The sequence below is a fragment of the Homo sapiens genome, chromosome 4 (genome assembly GCF_000001405.40).
Source record: "Homo sapiens chromosome 4, GRCh38.p14 Primary Assembly".
Classification (NCBI taxonomy): domain Eukaryota; kingdom Metazoa; phylum Chordata; class Mammalia; order Primates; family Hominidae; genus Homo; species Homo sapiens.
In genome coordinates, this window is record NC_000004.12 from 103,996,709 (window position 1) to 104,016,428 (window position 19,720).

At 36.2% G+C, this 19,720-nt stretch overlaps 1 long non-coding RNA gene across 3 annotated transcripts in view; it reads left to right on the forward strand.

Moving 5' to 3' along the window:
* The window catches only part of LINC02503 (long intergenic non-protein coding RNA 2503), a 75,942-nt gene that overhangs the window by 35,099 nt on the left and 21,123 nt on the right, over positions 1 to 19,720 (forward strand). Inside the window, exons 4-5 of one of the 3 annotated variants that reach the window (NR_186772.1) lie at positions 2,123 to 2,320; positions 3,104 to 3,223. The exons of 1 other annotated variant lie outside the window; for it this stretch is intronic. This is a non-coding gene — a long non-coding RNA (long intergenic non-protein coding RNA 2503). The remainder of the gene's footprint in view (positions 1 to 2,122; positions 2,321 to 3,103; positions 3,224 to 19,720) is intronic. One more of the 3 variants, NR_186771.1, reaches the window with a different exon arrangement.

The following is a 19,720-nucleotide window of genomic DNA, read 5'->3' on the forward strand; positions in this document are numbered from 1 at the left end:
TAGCAACAGACTTATTTTATTTATTTTTTATTGTGTAAATCCTTCAAGGCTGAGTGCTGCCTGCACAACACTCTTCTTGTCTCAGCTTGACTGGCCCCACAGCCATGACTCATCTTTTACAGTTGCAGCTTTTGAAGCACATTCCAGACCTGCTTGTTCCCACAGCTCTCCTAATCCTTTCACATGACCATGAAGACAGCCTTTAAATTCAACGGAAGATGTTTCTGACATTTTTTTCAAGCTATAAAAACTATTTCCAGGTCCAGGTTGGGGAATGATACGTGGATGTTTGGAGAAAATCAGGGGTTATCATTTTTCCTCCCTGCTAGCTACTAAGAAGGGTCTTTAAAAAAAAAAAAAAATCTCAGCATTCTGTAGAAATTTATCCAAACAAGTATTGTCTTTGCAGTGCTGTATTCTCAATAGTAAGAAATTATTTTAAAATCAGCAGTTTCTGAAGACAAATTTTTATTAAATCTGCAATCAGAGAAATTTTAAAAAATGTTTAATGGCTCATAGAAACAGTGTAGAAAATTTCAGCTTCATTTCCTCACTAATAGGATTGATTTTCTTCTCTTATTTTATCATTTTCTCTTTCTTTATTGGTAAATAAAATAGAACTGGCCTACCTAAATATAAAATTTATTCATAGGCGTTATTTTAAATAATTTCAACTATTAGGAATCATCATGGGTCTACTACAGAAATCATATATATAAATTGAAAATATATTTCTTTCTTTTCTTCTTCCCTTCCTCCTCCCTCCCTTCCTTCTTCATCCCCCATCCCTTCCCCACCATCCTTTTTTTTTGCTTTTGTCTTCTTTCTCCTTTTCTTCCATTCTTATATACATTCCATAAGCATTTTTGAATTCTTGTTTTGCTATTAAATTTTATACACACATTGTCTTTGTTTTTCTAATTTAGCTAGCAAATTGACTTTAAACAAAGACAAGTTGTATTAGAGTGTGTGTGTGTATATATATATATATATATACACACACATATATATATACACACACATACATGGAGAGAGAGAGAAACTATTTCATGTTTGAGAGAAAGCAGGGAAATGAGAATGTTTTCTTCCTATTTTCCAAATTGGTTAGTTCAAGGCCAAGTATATATGGACAGTATTATGTAAAACATTATCAATGAGATGAATATATTCTCCACTGCACAAAGAATGAAATTAATTATGAACCAATCTATTAAGAAATCGAGTGAAACTAAAAAGTTGATTTAAGCCATTATTCCTATGGCAATTTTAGTAGTCTGGAATTTTATTGGGCATTTCACCATTATCTGAGATTTTCTCCACAGGTGGATGCAGGGACTAGATGTCCTGTTGAGAATTTTTCTAGTTTGATGACTATGAAATTTAATGTACTTACTAGTCTTTTTCCCACACAATTCAAAATTCAAAATTGTGTGGAAAGAATACTAGTAAGAATTGAACTAGTAGCTATTATAAAAGTGAGCTGTCCAAAAGGAGTGTAGAGACCACTCCTTATGGAATGGAGAAAGGTGGGTATGATAATCCCTTTCCTTGTCTGTAATAAAATTCTGACGTTTTCCCTCCTAGGTTACCCCAGGAAAATAACTTTTTTAAATAGCAGTAGCCAGAGGCTTCTTATTATAATTTAGTAAGGCTGAAAGACAACTTCTCCTTGCATTCAATTCTATCATAGCATCCACTAAAAATACCTGCAGCACTAGAAGAAATTTTAGTTGAATTTTAGCCCATGGCTTGAAGGAGTTAGAAAGATTCCTAATAAGATTTATAGGCTTAGGTCCTAAAAATTTTAAAAACACTATAATAAAACTCGATCCCAGGACAGACTTAGTGGTTTATATCCATGATTGTCAAGATTTGTACCCTTTTCTTATAAAAACTTATTTTTGAGGTTGTCCAATGTACCTTACGTTACTCATCCTAAATACATATTATAGGCAAATGTAATTATGGACACTTTCCTGTCACTGAAACAATTTTGTTGTATTTATCAAGAAAAATCTCTCAAACCTCAATTCTAATTCTGCCCCTCTCTACCTATAAAACACACTCTTTAACATATATGACTCAGAAAAAATAAAAAGACAAAATGTTTACCTGGTTCTAGGTACGAATCCTGGAAGTGGAAAGGAAGGGGCATGAATTTCGGAAATGGGGAAGAAGAAGAAACGACAGCAACTAGATGTCATAATTTACAGCAGCAGATGTGAAGCAAGTTTTTGGATTATGGCCAGTGGAAAGAAAGCATGCCAGACAGCTAATGGGAGGCAAGAGTAGTGTGACATGTGGATGGACTGGAGGGCAGGTGATAGATTATGCAGGTCCTCATAAAGCATGTGTAGGAGTTTTATATTTATGTAAAGACTGATGAGAATCTACCAAGGGATTTTAATCATGGGATTGCAATAATTTCACTGAGATTTAAATTATTATTTTTGGATTATAGCATGGTAATTGTAAAGGGACAAAATAATTTCATGGAAGGCAGTTAGGGGTTATTGCAGAAATCCAGGTAAAAGTATCTGTGATTGGACTCAATTAGTGGTTGCAAAGATTGAAACAGTATAGATATTGAAAAAATAAAATCCATGAGACATTGTGGAGTGAAGGAGATCATGACATGGAACATACTGTGATGTGGTATATGTTGAGTGTTGAGCTAAATTTAAAGCATCTAGGTAAAGAAGTTGAATTAGTTACTGGATATCTTGGCTCATACATTAGCAGAGAAGACTGAACTCAGAATAAAAATTTTAAAGACAATGGACAAAGTAATAATAGTGGTAATTTAAGTCATCAGCATTTATGACAATATCGACTGAAATAATTACTTTCAAGGCCATGTGGTAAGAAAAGACAATAAGGATTTTGGTATACAATTTACCAGAAGAGTTTAATGAGGCAAGATCAATGGGTTAACATTTCAACGCAGGGTAAAATGTGAAGCACATGACACCAGAATATGCTTTAATATAGCCATGCTTGCAGTGGATTTATACTGAGTCCTATGGAAGTGAATTGAAAAAGATGTGTCACTCAAGAACTGTAACTTCAAAAGCCTAGGCCAACTTCGGCATTTATTTCACAGGGATGTGCATTATATTTAATAGGAGGCAACTTCTCTGCATGCTATGGAGCCCATAAAATCATCAACTAAATCTCAGAGCATTAAAAGCTGCTCTCAATCCAATATTAAATTTGAATTTTGGTAAGTTAACAACTGTGGCAAATGGAAAATTTCTCAGGAGTTCTCAGATAACTCTAAACATCAAGGTAAGAGTAAATAAGATCCTTGTGCTAGATAAGTATTCACAGGGATATTAGCTAAGACTTTTTCAGCTGCAAGTTGCCAAACTTAAATCGAGCAAGTTAATCAAAACATGGAATGTATTCATGTATGTAACTGTCTGTGGCTCTCTGATACACAAAATGGTTGGACCCTGAGTCTTGAATATTATGAAATTTGAATGTCTCTGATGGTTTTATTCTTCATGTAGAATAAAGGAAGTACCTTTCTCATAATAACTCTTTAACATAAGGTTTAAAAATGCCTGAGATTAACTTGGTTTTGAAAACATATCCATCCTCCACTAATGGCTATGGCTAGTGAATGAGATAAGGCTTGTGCAGGTCTGTCAAGTGCATATTTTTTTTAACCTGGGGAGAGAAGTCAGCTTCATAGTGAAGAAGCATTTTGATACTAGAAGAGGATAGAAAGTTTTCCTGGACAGATAGGAATAAAATAATGTTTATCAAACTGGGACTCTTACTGTAGCCTACAAAAACCCTACATAAACCCACCCCCAAGTGCTCTACATTATTTTCTGCCTCTCTTCTCTTCTATGCCTCTCCAACCTTCTTGCTGTTTTTTGAATATACTAAGCTTATTCCATGTCAAGACCTTCAGACTGCTGTTGCTTTGACCAGAAAGCTCTTTCCCAGATCCTCTCATAGGTGAATTTCTATCATATTTGAAGCCTCACCATCTATGATTGCTATAATAAAAAATGCCACCTAGTTACCTGCTATCCTATTGTTCTCTGTAATTTTTAAGAATAGACTCTTGCCAAGTTGTTGTTTTTTTATTTACTGGTATATTGTCTGTCTTCCTATAAAATGTTTAACTCATGAGAATAAGACCTAATTGGCCAGGCATGGTGGCTCATGCCTGTAATCCCAGCACTTTGGGAGGCCGAGGTTGGTGGATCGTGAGGTCAGGAGATCGAGACCAACCTGGCTAACATGGTGAAACTCTGTCTCTAATAAAAACACAAAAATCAGCCGGGCATGGTGGCGGGCACCTGTAGTTCCAGCTACTCGGGAGGCTGAGGCAGGAGAAAGGTGTGAACCCGGGAGGCAAAGCTTGCAGTGAGCTGAGATGGCACCACTGCACTCCAGCCTGGGTGACAGAGCGAGACTCTGTCTCAAAAAAAAAAAAAGAAAAAAAAAGAATAAGAGCTAACTCATTTAATTCTGTATCTAGCAACTTCACACTGTCTATCACAAGTTGTTTATTGAATTAATGAATCTGAATGATTCATTGAAAATATTTATTTATTTATTTATTTATTTATTTATTTATTTGAGATGGAGTCTCACTCTGTTGCCCAGGCTGGAGTGCAGTGGCACGATCTCGGCTCACTGCAACTTCTGCTTCCCAGGTTTAAGCAATTCTCCTGCCTCAGCCTCCCAAGTAACTGGGATTACAGGCACGTGCCACCATGCCCAGCTAATTTTTGTATTTTTAGTAGAGACAGGGTTTTACCAGGTTGGTCAGGCTGGTCTTGAACTCCTGACCTCGTGATCCGCCTGCCTCGGCCTCCCAAAGTGCTGGGATTACAGGTGTGAGCCACCACACCCAGCCCTCATTTATTTTTAACACCCCTATTCTCACTCCTAAAACTTTAAGACAATTGGCTTAACTTTTTATTGCACTTTACTTTATTGCGCTTTATTGCACTTTACTTGGATTATTATTGTAATCCCAGTTAGCATGCTTAATTCCAAAGCCAATCTACATGGATATCTGCAATGATATTGGCTCTTTATCCTTAATCTGCTCTTGTAGAGCATTCATTGTAAAGCCAAACTACTTCTTCAGCTATTCTCAGAGTAGTTGGAAATTTCAGGAAAATATAAAATAGTGTCTTAATAAATACTTCACATTCTCTTGTTACAAAAACAATTTCTAGTAGTACATTAGGAGGATGACAAAACTAGTATTTTGAAAATAACCTTTTTGCACAGGAAATTCCAAAAGCCAGAATGACTCTTGTCCTCCAAGTGAACACAACACTATCAGGGGAACCAGCCCCCAGTATTTCAACATAGGTTCTTTTCTATTTTACCTAAGTGTTGGCCAGGCTGAGAAATAAAGAGAAAGAGTACAAAAGAGAGAAATTGTACAGCTGGGTCTCCGGGGGTGACATCACATGTCAGCAGTTTCCGTGATGCCCACCTGAGCCACAAAACTGGCAAGTTTTTATTAGGGATTTCAAAAGGGGAGGGGGGTATGAATAGGGAGTGGGTCACAGAGATCACATGCTTCAAATGGCAATAAAAGATGACAAGGGCAGAAGGGCAGAGCAAGGTCACAAGGCCAGGGCAAAATTAGAATTACTAATGAGGTTCCATGTCCCGCTGTGCACACATTGTCACTGATAAACATCTTAACAGGAAACAGGGTTCGAGAGCAGGCAAACGGTCTGACTAGAATTCACCAGGCTGGAATTTCCTAATCCTAGCAAGCTTGAGGGTGCTGCAGGAGACCAGGGCATATTTTATCCCTTATCTTCAACTGCATAAGACAGACACTCCCAGAGCGGCCATTTTAGAGGCCTCCCCATGGGAATGCATTCTTTTCCCAGGGCTGTTCCTTGCTGAGAAAAAGAATTCAGCTATATTTCTCCTATTCGCTTTTGCAAGAAGAGAAATATGACTCTGTTCTGCCCGGTCCCACAGGCAGTCAGACCTTATGGTTATCTCCCTTGTTCCCTGAAAAGCGCTGTTATCCTGTTCTTTTAGGATGCCCAGATTTCATATTGTTCAAACACACGTTTTACAAACAATTTGTACAGACAACGCAATCATCACAGGGTCCTGAGGAGACATACATCCTCAGCTTATGAAGATGATGGGATTAAGAGATTAAAGTAAAGATAGGCATAGGCAATTATAAGAGTATTGATTGGGGAAGTGATAAATGTCCATGAAATCTTCACAATTTATGTTCAGAGATTGCAGTAAAGACAGGCATAAGAAATTATAAAAGTATTAATTTGGGGAACTAATAAATGTCCATGAACTCTTCACAATTTATATTCTTCTGCCGTGGCTTCAGCCGGTCCCCCCGTTCGGGGTCCCTGACTTCCCACTACACAACACCTCTCCAGCAAGAGCACAAAAACTGGACGGAGAATGAGGTTGACGAATTGACAGAAGTAGGCTTCAGAAGGTGGTTAATAACAAATTCCTCTGAGCTAAAGGATCATGTTCTAACCCAAGGCAAAGAAGCTAAGAACCTTAATAAAATGTTACAGGAACTGATAACTAGAATAATCAGTTTAGAGAGGAACATAAATGACCTGAAGCTGAAATGGAGCTGAAAAATATCTAGGAATACAACTTACAAGGGATGTGAAGGACCTCTTCAAGGAGAACTACAAACCACTGCTCAAGGAAATCAGAGGACACAGACAAATGGAAAACAGTCCATGATCACGGATAGGAAGAATCAATATCATGAAAATGACCATACTGCCCAAAGTAATTGATAGATTCAATCCTATTCCCATCAAACCACCACTGACATTCTTCACCTAATTGGAAAAAACTACTTTAAATTTCATATTGAACCAAAAAAGAGACTGTATAGCCAAGACAATCGTAAGCAAAAACAACAAAGCTGGAGGCATTACACTACCTGACTTCAAACTATACAACAAGGCTACAGTAACCAAATCAGCATGGTACTGGTACCAAAACAGATATATAGACTAATGGAACAGAACAGAGGCCTTAGAAATACCACCACACATCTACAACCATCTGATCATTGACAAACCTGACAAAAACAAGCAATGGGGAAAGGATTCCCTATTTAATAAATTGTGCTAGGAAAACTGGCTAGCCATATGCGGAAAACTGAAACTGCACCGTTTCCTTACACGTTATACAAAAATAGCTCAAGATGGATTAAAGACTTAAATGTAAAACCCAAAACCATAAAAACCCTAGAAGAAAACCTAGGCAATACCATCCAGGACATAGGCATGGGCAAAGACTTTACGATGAAAATACCAAAAGCAATTGCAACTAAAGCCAAAATTGACAAATGGGATCTAATTAAACCAAAGAGCTCTGCACAGCAAAAGAAACTAGCATCAGAGTGAACAGGCAACCTACAGAATGAGATAAAAATTTTGCAATCTATCCCTCTGACAATGGTCTAATACCCAGAATCTACACGAAACTTAACCAAATTTACAAGAAAAAAGCAACCCCATCAAAAAGTGGGCAAAGGATACGAATAGAGATTTCTCAAAAGAAGACATTTATGCAGGCAAAAAATATATGAAATAAGCTCATCATTACTGATCATTAGAAAAATGCAAATCAAAACCACAATGAGATACCATCTCATGCCAGTCAGAATTGTCATTATTAAAAAGTCAAGAAACAATAGAGAGTGGTGAGACTGTGGAGAAATAGGAACACTTTTACACTGTTGGTGGGAATGTAAATTAGTTCAACCATTGTGGAAGGCAGTGTTGCAATTCCTCAGGGATCTAGAACAAGAAGTACCATTTGACCCATCAATCTCATTACTGGGTATATACCCAAAGGAATATGAATTATTCTACTATAAAGATACATGCACATGTATGTTTATTGCAGCTCTACTTACAATAGCAAAGACATAGAACTAACCCAAATGGCCAACATTGATAGACTGGGTAAAGAAAATGTGGTACATATACACCATGGAATACTACGTAGCTATAAAAAAGAATGAGATCATGTCCTTTGCAGGGACATGGATGAAGCTGGAAGCCATCATGCTCAGCAAACTAACACAGGAACAGAAAACCAAACACTACATGTTCTCACTCATTAGTAGGAGTTGAACAATGAGGACACATGGACACAGGAAGGGGAACAACACATACCGGGGCCTACTGGGGGTTTGGGGTAAAGGAGAGGGAGAGCATTAGGTCAAATACCTAATGAACACAGATCTTAAAATCTAGACCACGAGTTGAAAGGTGCAGAAAACCACCATGGCACTTGTATACCTGTGTAACAAAGCTGTGCTTTCAGCACATGTATCCCAGACCTTAAAAGTAAGATAAAATAAAATATAATAATTAATTCACAGAAATGAAAGTAGAAAGGTTGTTTCCAGAAGACTGGAGGTGGGTAGGAGAAATGGAGATACGGTGGTCATTGGGTACACATTTTCAGTTATAAGATGACTAATTTCTGGAAAGGTAATGTAAAGCGCTTGAACTATAAGTAATTATATGGTATTGTGTTAAAAAAAAGAAAATGACCTGTTTAGACTTCATAATGAAAATGCCACATAGTTTACTCTACACAACTTGCAAGTAGAGTAAAATCTCAAAGCCATTATCATTCTTGGCACTTATTTATAATATCAGCTTCCAGTCCCTGCTTGCTAATGAAGTGCTGATACCTTTTCTGGAGATATAGTCATTGATCTGGTCACTGATTTCCATTCTGTATCCCTCTTGGTATATTTTATTTCATTCTTCCCCATCCAAATATATGTCTGTCTGTCTACTCTAGCTTTAGGGACTTAACTCTTTAATCACTGCTTTTAATTTATAAACAGCTTTACCATATTTTGTCTCTGTCTATCCAAGTATACATGACATATGACATCCATTATCTTATATGGATGGTGATGGTGGCAGTGATGGCTAATCTTCTGGCCTGGTGATGCACACTATGAACTCTGAAAATGGCAGGAATTTTAAAACCTATTTTCTCAGAGAATATCTTTTCTAATTTGTAGCATAGTTGAAATAGATTACCCCTTTGCATATAAATCCATTAAATTTTCCTCATGAAACAGCATTTTAAATTTTTACAGTTTTATCATTTAATGCCCAACATTGGGTAAATTATAGTTGCATCTCTCATTGTCCCTTTCTACCGTTTTATCAATAGACATCCAGATGTTCTGTTCATAGTGTTAGGTATTATTATTATTGTTGTTGATACAGTTATTTTTTCCTTTTCAAATATCCCTATCAAACTAAGATACATATTTGTAATTTGTAATTTAGTATCCCTCCTCTACAGACTTCTCATAACCAGTTTCATAATAGATAAGCGAAGTCCAATTAATAGAGAAGCATAGTTGCATATAAGGGTGGTGAGGATGGCAGTGACAGGCTATTATTTAAATTCATGTATTCTCGAACTGTCACCCAACACTGCTTATCTGTTTTGCAAATATCAAAAATTATCATTGTTTAATATCATTCAATGATTACCCATATTAAATATAAGTGAATACTTTATGGGCAGTTCTTTTCTGTTTTCTTCTTCTCTTGAAGAAGATATAGGATCCATTCCCTATGACTTTCTTTTTATATCTATGAATTAGCATATTTTGTTAACAATAAATAAACCATGGTATTTCTGCTGCACAACACTGATGTCAGATGTGTATACATTTAAAGCAATTTACTTTTGTGGTACCTACTTCCTCTCCAACTGGAATGGCAGCCAATCTTCAAAAATCAGTTGGGTCATTGAACAGTCAATATGGTTTAATTGTTAAGACAACAGAAATAAGTGACCATGTCTGCCTCAATGAATAAATCAAATCAAAACTATAGCAATTGATTAATATTTGGCATTCAGCAACTGTAGGAAAAGTGAGAAAATCACTTCAAAAATAATTAACCAGAAAAAGGATTGATTGTATATAATGGAAATTCTGGTTATCTGAAAGACCAGGTAATGGTAACTTCCCCATGCTCAGTCCAGTGAATCACACTCTAGTTGGCAATATGGCCCACACGATAAACAATACGTGTTTCTGCCATGTATTAAAGTTTTCCAAAATTAAATTTTTTTTGTCAAGTATATTAAGTTACTAATGTACAAGGTAAAATTAAATTTTTTAGTAGGTAGTTACATCATTTTTATAAAGAATATGGTTATTTAACAATTACTGCAATCAAGAAGATTTCAACAACCTCAAATAACTTCATAGTATCTTTTTTTTACTGATAATATCTTCCCCTATGCTCAGCTTCTATAATAACTGTTCTGCTTTCTGTCTTTATAATTAAGCCTTTTTATAATTTCCTTATAAACAATTTCTTTCTTTAATATAGTTGCTATTCATCTATTTTGTTGCATGTGGCAATAGTTTGTTCCTTTTTAATACTAAATAATAGTCAATGGTATGGCTGTATGTACCACATAGCTTGTTTATGGATTTTGGGGAATATTTTTTTCATATAGGTATCCAGCTTTTCCGGTTTCACTTGGTGAAAAGACTTTTTTTTCTCTCTTTTTTTTCTTTTTGCCTAAAATCCCTTTTATTTAATATTCTAAGAACCACTGCTGAAATTCAGTTGACCGTATACGTGAAGATCAATTTCTTTTCACTCTATTCTGTTATTTATATTCATCTAAATATCTTTTTTAGCCAGTTCCACAATGTCACATAGCAAGAAAAGAGTCCTAAAATTCATATGGGACCCAAAAAGAGCCCAAATAGCCAAAGCAAGACTAAGCAAAAAGAACAAATCTGGAGGCATTACACTACACAATTTCAAATTATACTATAAGACCATAGTCACCAAAACAGCATGGTACTGGTATAAAAATAGGCACATTGACCAATGGAACAGAATAGAGAACTCAGAAATAAAGCCAAATAATTTCAGTCAACCACTCTTCAACAAAGCAAACAAAAACATAAAGTGGGGAAAGACACTGTATTCCACAAATGGTGCTGGGATAACTGGCAAGCCACATGTAGAAGAATGAAACCAGATCCTCATCTCTCACCTTATACAAAAATCAATTCAAGATGGATCAAAATCTTAAATCTAGGACCCGAAACCATAAAAGTTCTAGAAGATAACATCAGAAAACCCTTCTAGACATTGCCTTAGGCAAAGACTTCATGACCAAGAACCCAAAAGCAAATGCAAGAAAAACAAAGGTATATAAATAGGAATTAATTAAACTAAAAAGCTTCTGCACAGCAAAAGAAATTTTCGGCAGGGTAAACAGATCACCCACATAATGGGAGAAAATCTTCACAATCTATATATAGAATTAAAGGATTATGAGCATCATCATCACTGCTCATCGTCACTGGCCATCAGAGAAATGCAAATCAAAACCACAGTGAGATACCATCTCACTCCAGTTAGAATGGCAATCATTAAAAAGTCAGGAAACAACAGGTGCTAGAGAGGATGTGGAGAAATAGGAACACTTTTACACTGTTGGTGGGACTGTAAACTAGTTCAACCATTGTGGAAGTCAGTGTGGCAATTCCTCAAGGATCTAGAACTAGAAATACCATTTGACCCAGCCATCCCATTACTGGGTATATACCCAAAGGACTATAAATCATGCTGCTATAAAGACACATTCACACGTATGTTTATTGCGGCATTATTCACAATAGCAAAGACTTGGAACCAACCCAAATGTCCAACAACGATAGACTAGATTAAGAAAATGTGGCACATATACACCATGGAATACTATGCAGCCATAAAAAATGATGAGTTCGTGTCCTTTGTAGGGACATGGATGAAATTGGAAACCATCATTCTCAGTAAACTATCGCAAGAACAAAAAACCAAACACCGCATATTCTCACTCATAGGTGGGAATTGAACAATGAGATCACATGGACACAGGAAGGGGAACATCACACTCTGGGGACTATTGTGGGGTGCGGGGAGCGGGGAGGGATAGCATTGGGAGATATACCTAATGCTAGATGACGAGTTAGTGGGTGCAGCACACCAGCATGGCACATGTATACATATGTAACTAACCTGCACAATGTGCACATGTACCCTAAAACTTAAAGTATAATAAAAAAATAAAATTAAAAAAAAAAGAATTCAAGGATGAATATCCATAATCTACAAGGAACTCAAACAAATCAGCAAGAAAAGGCAAACAGTCCCAGCAAAAAGTGGGCTAATAACATGAATAGACAATTCTCAAAGGAAGATATACAGATGTCCAAAAACCATGTGAAAAAAAGCTCAACATCACTAATGATCAGGGGAATGCAAATCAAAACCACAATGTGATACCACCTTACTCCTAAAAGAATTGCCATAAGCAAAAAATAAAAAAAAAAATGTTGGCATGGATGTGGTGAAAAGGGAACATATTTACACTGCTTTTGAGAATGTAATCTAGTACAACCACTTTGGAAAACAATGTGGCAATTTCTTTTTTATTTATTTATTTATTTATTTTTTATTTTATTATTATTATACTTTAAGTTTTAGGGTACATGTGCACAATGTGCAGGTTAGTTACATATGTATACATGTGCCATGTTGGTGTGCTGCACCCATTAACTCGTCATTTAGCATTAGGCATATCTCCAAATGCTATCCCTCCCCCCTCCCCCAACCCCACAACAGTCCCCGGAGTGTGATGTTCCCCTTCCTGTGTCCATGTGTTCTCATTGTTCAATTCCCACCTATGAGTGAGAACATGAGCTGTTTGGTTTTTTGTCCTTGGGATAGTTTGCTGAGAATGATGGTTTCCAGTTTCATCCATGTCCCTACAAAGGACATGAACTCATTATTTTTTATGGCTGCATAGTATTCCATGGTGTATATGTGCCACATTTTCTTAATCTAGTCTATCGTTGTTGGACATTTGGGTTGGTTCCAAGTCTTTGCTATTGTGAATAGTGCCGCAATAAACATACGTGTGCATGTGTCTTTATAGCAGCATGATTTATAATCCTTTGGGTATATACCCAGTAATGGGATGGCTGGGTCAAATAGTATTTCTAGTTCTAGATCCCTGAGGAATCCAGTGTGGCAATTTCTTAAATAACTAAAAGCAGATATACTTTTGATCCAGCAATCCCACTACTGGGTATCTACTCAGAGGAAAAGAAGTCATTATATGGAAAAGAAGCCATTATACAGAAAAGAAACTTGTTTATAAACATGTTTATAGCTGCACAATTAATTGTAAAAACATGGAACCAGCCCAAATGCCCATAAATCAACTAGTGGATAAAGAAAATGTGTTTTGTATGTGTGTATACACACACACACACACACCAGGGAATACACACATATACACCCAGGGAATACTACTCAGCCATAAAAAGGAACACAATCATGACATTGTTAGCAACTTGGATAGAATTGGAGACCATTATTCTAAGTGAAATAACTCTGGAATGGAAAACCAAACATCACATGTTCTCACTTGAAGTGGGAGCTAAGCTATGAGGATTCAAAGGCAGGAGAATGATACAATAGACTTTGGGGGAAAGGGTGGAAGAAGTATGAGAGATAAAAGACTGCATATTGGGTGATGTACACTGCTTGGGTGATGGGTGCACCACAGTCTCAGAAATCATCACTAAAGGACTTATTCATGTAAACAGATACCACCTATTCCTCCAAAACTTATTGAAATAAAAATAAACAGAATAGTAGCAAAATTGAATCATGTTTTAAGGCTTTTATCTTGTCTTGTTTCCTCTTTCTTACAAGTATCCCCACAGAACAGAATGAAAAGAAATGTATAAATCTAGCCAACAAATACAAAAATCCTAATTTAGTAAGGATTAATAATTTTGTTAAAGTGAGAACCAGGTGATAAAATTAATTTTAAAGGCAAAAATCACAATTACATTTGCACCAATCTAATATTGCAACATAATTTAAACAGTGGAAATTCCTGCTAAACCGCTTATATCCACATCAGGCATTTGCTGTGTATATATTGTGAATAAATTAAAATAAAATTATAAGGTTAACTATATAGAGTTTAATGTTAATATATTCAAAATATATAATTCTGTAATTTATGTGTGCATACATTCCTTTTGCTAGTAGGTGTTTTAGAGAGTTCAGGCCAGATTCTTTTCACTGGGCCACTGCCCTCATCCCATAGGTACTTTGAATATGCTTCAAAGGGATTATGTCTCCAGAGAAATGCCACTGGGCTGAATATGCTTAGGAGACTACAACATCTCTCCACCCATAACAACAACGACTGACACACGTGGGGCACAGGTAGCAGAAAAGCCCAGCTCCTTTCTCTCAAAGCAGGGTATCATTGCTGAGCAAATCACAATGTGTACTTCAGGGCTCTCTCTCCCTGAAATGGATCAGGAACAAGTCTAAACTTTATGTGGGACCACATCATTGCTCAGCCCCTTCCCTTTCCCCATCCCGTGTAATTCTTCATGGGTTTTTCCTCCAGAGTCCTTCTGTAAGCTATAATGCACCTGAGTCTCTGTCTTAGGCTCTGCCTTTAAAGAACCTGTTTGAGGACTCTTTTGGATAATGTGCTACTATTATGTGCTTTTATGTTGAGAGTTTTGCTGAAAACCAAAACTTCCAAAGCCAGTGCTTCCGTCACCGTACTTTTGCAGTCCAAGTGGACTGAAAGCAGGCAAATTTCATCAGGCTTGGTATCAGGTATATACTGACTGCTGTGTAATGGTCCCATCTAAGAAAGAATGTAAGAAAAAAAAATCTAGGGTAGTTTATGAATAGTCATCAAAATCACATCTAAGTGTAAATTTTCACGCTCTCCTATACCAAGTATTTCTTTGCTAATAAAATGAAAATTTGGCCCTTCAATCTGAATGGCCATTTTTTAAAAAGAATCTATATACATTATGAGTAAATGACACATGGTTTTGCCAAACTCTTAACTAGCACTACCTATCTAAAATTGCTACATGCATACAAAATGGGCACTATTTGACTACAAATATCCTTTCAAGCAGATCTGATAAAATATTTTAACTATGGATATTTAGAAGCTTAGTCTTAGCCTAAGTAGTCATCATTTTTCCCTGATGATCCTTAGAATAAATCTATATACAAAAGTAATTTTTCAATTTCAGATTCAAATGTGCTAAATGTTATGACAAAAATTTTAATTTTTATTGTTATTCTGAGAAGTCTGTTTACTTTCACAAATTTCAGACATTCTTTGTTGCATCTCTTTCTCTCGTTGCACAACCTGGTATTTCTGTGCATAGCTCTTACTGCACTGAAAATACTTATCTGATTCTGTTTGCAGAAATAAATGGTGGCTTAGTCTTTTGTACTCCCTTATTAAGCTGTGCCCAGTATTTGCTTCTCAAAACCGTACCCTAGCAGACCACCTGACTGTGGCATCCTTGTTTCTTAATGGACTCTACCTTAGAAACACAGTTACCATATCAGTAGCTTTACTGATCCTTTCTAGTCTTGTTGACCATTTCATTTAGATTAACCGATAGCCTTGAGGCCAATGTTAACCACCCTAACCATGACAAATCATCTGTCTCACTTGTCCCTTAGGTTTAAATATTCCCTCTGTGCATAATAGGAAGCACTATTTATTCTGTTATCACAGAGTTTTGAAGGGGAGACTATGTGCTTGGCAGCCAAAAACATCTTTCCCCATAGTCTTTTTATAATCTCTGCTTTCCCACAACTGTACAAAAAGAAGAGAAAAAGTAAATTTGAGCATCATTCAAACTGATGAACTGCTAGAAAATTTAGCTTACATTTAAGTACATATTTAAAAGAAATTTTCAATTACTATAGGATCTGCTATGTGCTAGACACTAGGATAGGCACAGAAATATAAGAATATACATCACGATATTACTATCTTTAAGAGTTTAAATAGGAACATCCATATTAATAATATTTATAAAATAATGAGTCATGTTTAGTACAGGTAGGAAGAGCTATATAAAGAGGATGTCCCAATACTGACAAGGAATTTGGAGATAGCTTCACTAAGGAAGTAGTATAAATTGAGCCTTGAAAAACAAGAATTTTTTTATCAAATAGATAAAATAATGAGGATAAAATAATCAAATTAATGATTCACATGGTCAAAGGCACAGAAGAATAGTAGAACATAGCTTGGTTAAATATTAGGAGTCTGCAATGCATGGGCATATAGTAAGAAATCAGGAAGGTAATTTGGCAAGATGAAACTGGAAAGGTAGATTTATTTGTAATTATTCTTAATGAATCAATAATAGCTTTGGACTTATTTTTAGGATTTAATGTTAGGCAACTTTTGTTCAAATGGGCAAAGTCAGAAAACAGCAAAATATCTATGAGTCACATTTTTAAGATTCAAACTGAACAAAGCTTTGAGTCCTATAGGAGAGTGACTACATGTACTGTGTGTGTGTGTGTGTGTGTGTGTGTGTGTATCCTTGCAAGCTATGTTATTTATTTTACTGAATACGAGAATACCAGTAAGATAATTAGAATTCTATTTTAGTCACTAAAAGGTTAATATGTGGGAACATTTGTGACTTAGCAGTACCAAACAGCTTTCTAGTGCTTAATATTTTACCTTTGTATAGTGCTTTAAAACACAACGCGTATCCTCGTGCATTAGTTCACCCCTTTCTCAAAGCCACTCCAAGAAATAGGTATTACAATCATCTTTATCTAACAGAAAAAGTCAGACTCAGAGAAGTGAAGTGCCTTATCCAAAATAATACAATGTTTTAATAGCAGAATACATGTGTGTCAACAACAACACAGAGCATTGAGAAATCCATGAGACATAGCCCATTGCATTCAGCCAACCTGCCTCCTGTCCCCATAGTTAAAATAATCTTTATCTTCAAGGCCCATAAAAGTCACATCTTAACCATGGGCACTTTTCAATTATTAACGCAGAGCAGCACCATCCTCACTCATACCCTAGTGTGCTACACTGCACTACCCTGGAGAGATATGAGCACCACCATCTTGAGATGAAGCCCTAGTTATGTTGAAGTGCAGTTCTGCTCCTCCCTTGAGGCAATTCCTCCTCCAATGCCCAGCATCCAATGCCCAACACCACTGCCTTAATCACTGGGAAAGATGTTCTTGCTTTGGAATAAGGTGTGTGTGTGTGTGTGTGTGTGTGTGTGTGTGTGTGTGTGGTGTTTTAAGACTCTTTTTGATTCCAAGGTATATGTTTTCTGTGAAGCCCTTCTTTCCTTATTCCTGTGCCTTGGACAAGCTAGGAGAATAGGTGGGCTGCATGTAGTCTGCAAGGATGGTTGTCTGAATCCTTATAGGCAATGTAAGGATATTGAAAGTCCTGCATTTCTGTTTTAGGAAGATAACTCTGGTGGTTGTTATCTTTTCTGCCTCAGAATCTCGCTCACTAAAAATAAAAATCTCAAAGGTTTAATTTCTTGATTTCGGGCATGGTCCAGTACATATTTGAAGGTGGCACCTCTTAGAAAATATTTCTCCTTTAAATATGTAAATGTAACCTGAGAGACAAATTCTCCTGGGGGATCCTATCTCCCTTCTTTCTCTTCTTTTGGTCTGCATGTTGTGGTGGCTTCAGAAGCCCATTGCAATCAAACAATAAAGATTTGAAGTAAGTTTAGTGCCATTTAGATGAAAGAATAAAAGAGATGTATTAACTTATATGGTTGAAACATAAGTTGTTTGTGAATGAAATCTATAGAGAAAAATGGGAATAGGGAGTAGACCGTAAAGAATTACATGAAGAAAGATGTTGACAGAAACGAAATAAAACTGTTTCAGAATTGATATTAACTGGGTGATTCGGGTATTAATTAGGCAATTTGGATATTAATTAGATAATTTGTTACTTTCGCAGAGTTTTACGAACTAGAAATGAACCTGCAAGGGTGGTGGTATGTGTGTGCAAGTAAAATCCTGGGAATGGTGCCAAATTGAAGTTCTTGGAAAATTGAAGTCCTTAATTTTCCTGGATAACAGGTTCAGTAGTATTAGCAGAAGCTTCAGCAGTAACATCAATGCATTATATTTAGGATGACCCGATGCAAACATCCTCAAGGCTGGAATGCTTGTTCTGTCCTTCATATTGAAGGGAGAGTCATTTGTTATTGCTTCAAGGAAAGCCTACTTAAAAAAAAAATCCCTGCTAACGGAGATTTATCATTTCCATGGATTACTACAATTTGAGAAGATCACTGGAATTAGAGTCAGTCAAATGTATAAGGGCCAAGAATCCTCAGAAGTGCATTTTAGCACCATTTATTCAATTTGGTTGACATTGGCTGACAAAATGATGAGCTAGTATTTTCCAGAACAGAGATTCAAGAATTATTGTTTTTCTCTCTAGAAACCAAATTGAAAAAAAGTAGAATCTAGTATAAACTATGAAACTATATAGCTCAGTTTACTCCACTATTTTTTTTTTTTTTTTTTTTTTTGAGATGGAGTCTTTCTCTGTAACCCAGGCTGGAGTGCAGTGGCGCGATATCGGCTCACTGCAAGCTCCACCTCCTGGGTTCACACCATTTTCTGCCTCAGCCTCCGGAGTAGCTGGGACTACAGGCGCCCGCCACCACGCCTGGCTAATTTTTTTGTATTTTTAGTGGAGACGAGGTTTACACCATGTTAGCCAGGATGGTCTCGATCTCCTGACGTCGTGATCCGCTCGTCTCGGCCTCCCAAAGTGCTGGGATTACAGGCGTGAGCCACCGCGCCTGGCCTACTCCACTCTTCAAAAAATTAAGATTTAGCATGTTAATTAAACAACTGACTATCTAAAATATTAGTTCTGTGAGAGTAAGAAAGGTGTCGTGTATATTGCTCTGTCCCTAATGTTTACAACCTTCTTTATACATAGCAGACTATCAATCAATATTGGTGAATAAATAAATGATGCATGCCATAGAGTTATAACTACCTACTGTTGTAGCCCCTTACCACTATTAAAAGTGTTTAAAGTTATGAAGTTAAATCACTGCGATTGAAAATATTAAACGTGAAAGATTACCAATTAATGTGGACAAGGAAAAATAATGCTTCCCTTTTCTAATCAACTCCCTCAGTCCCTTAAGTACCATTGAGGTGGCTTTAGTTGAGTTTGGATGTGTAAAGGTTGCCTGTTTGCCACTTGCCAGCAGATGGCCTAATTCTTCCATCATTCACTAAGTATTGGAACTATTCTTTATAAAGAAAAGCAGTTGGTGAGAAATAACTTTCCTCTTGATTTTTTTTTTATTTTTAGCAGAGACAACATTTTAGTATATTTCCCATTATTTTTCATTGGATTAAATAATTGATTAGATATGCTAATTTTAACATAGCCTATTCAATAAGGAATCAATTCCTAATCAATAAGGAAAGAGTACACTTTTTTTTTAATATATGCCAAATCATCTAGGACGATCTATAGAGGTGACATACTAATATCATTGCCTTGGGGATAAATTGATTCATCAGCATCTATGAGTAAATGAGACTCTTTATGTTCCTCTAGACAGTCCTTACAAGTCATTTAAAATATTGTTCACATATAGATGACTTTATAAATTTTTCTGAAATTCAGTGAAAAGAACTGTGATGTTCACTCATTTTACCTGTAACAAATTTGCTCATGTTTCTGAGGTTATTTACAAATTTATAACTTAACTGTAAGGGAAAAGCATTTTTTCATTTGTAATACATACCAAATT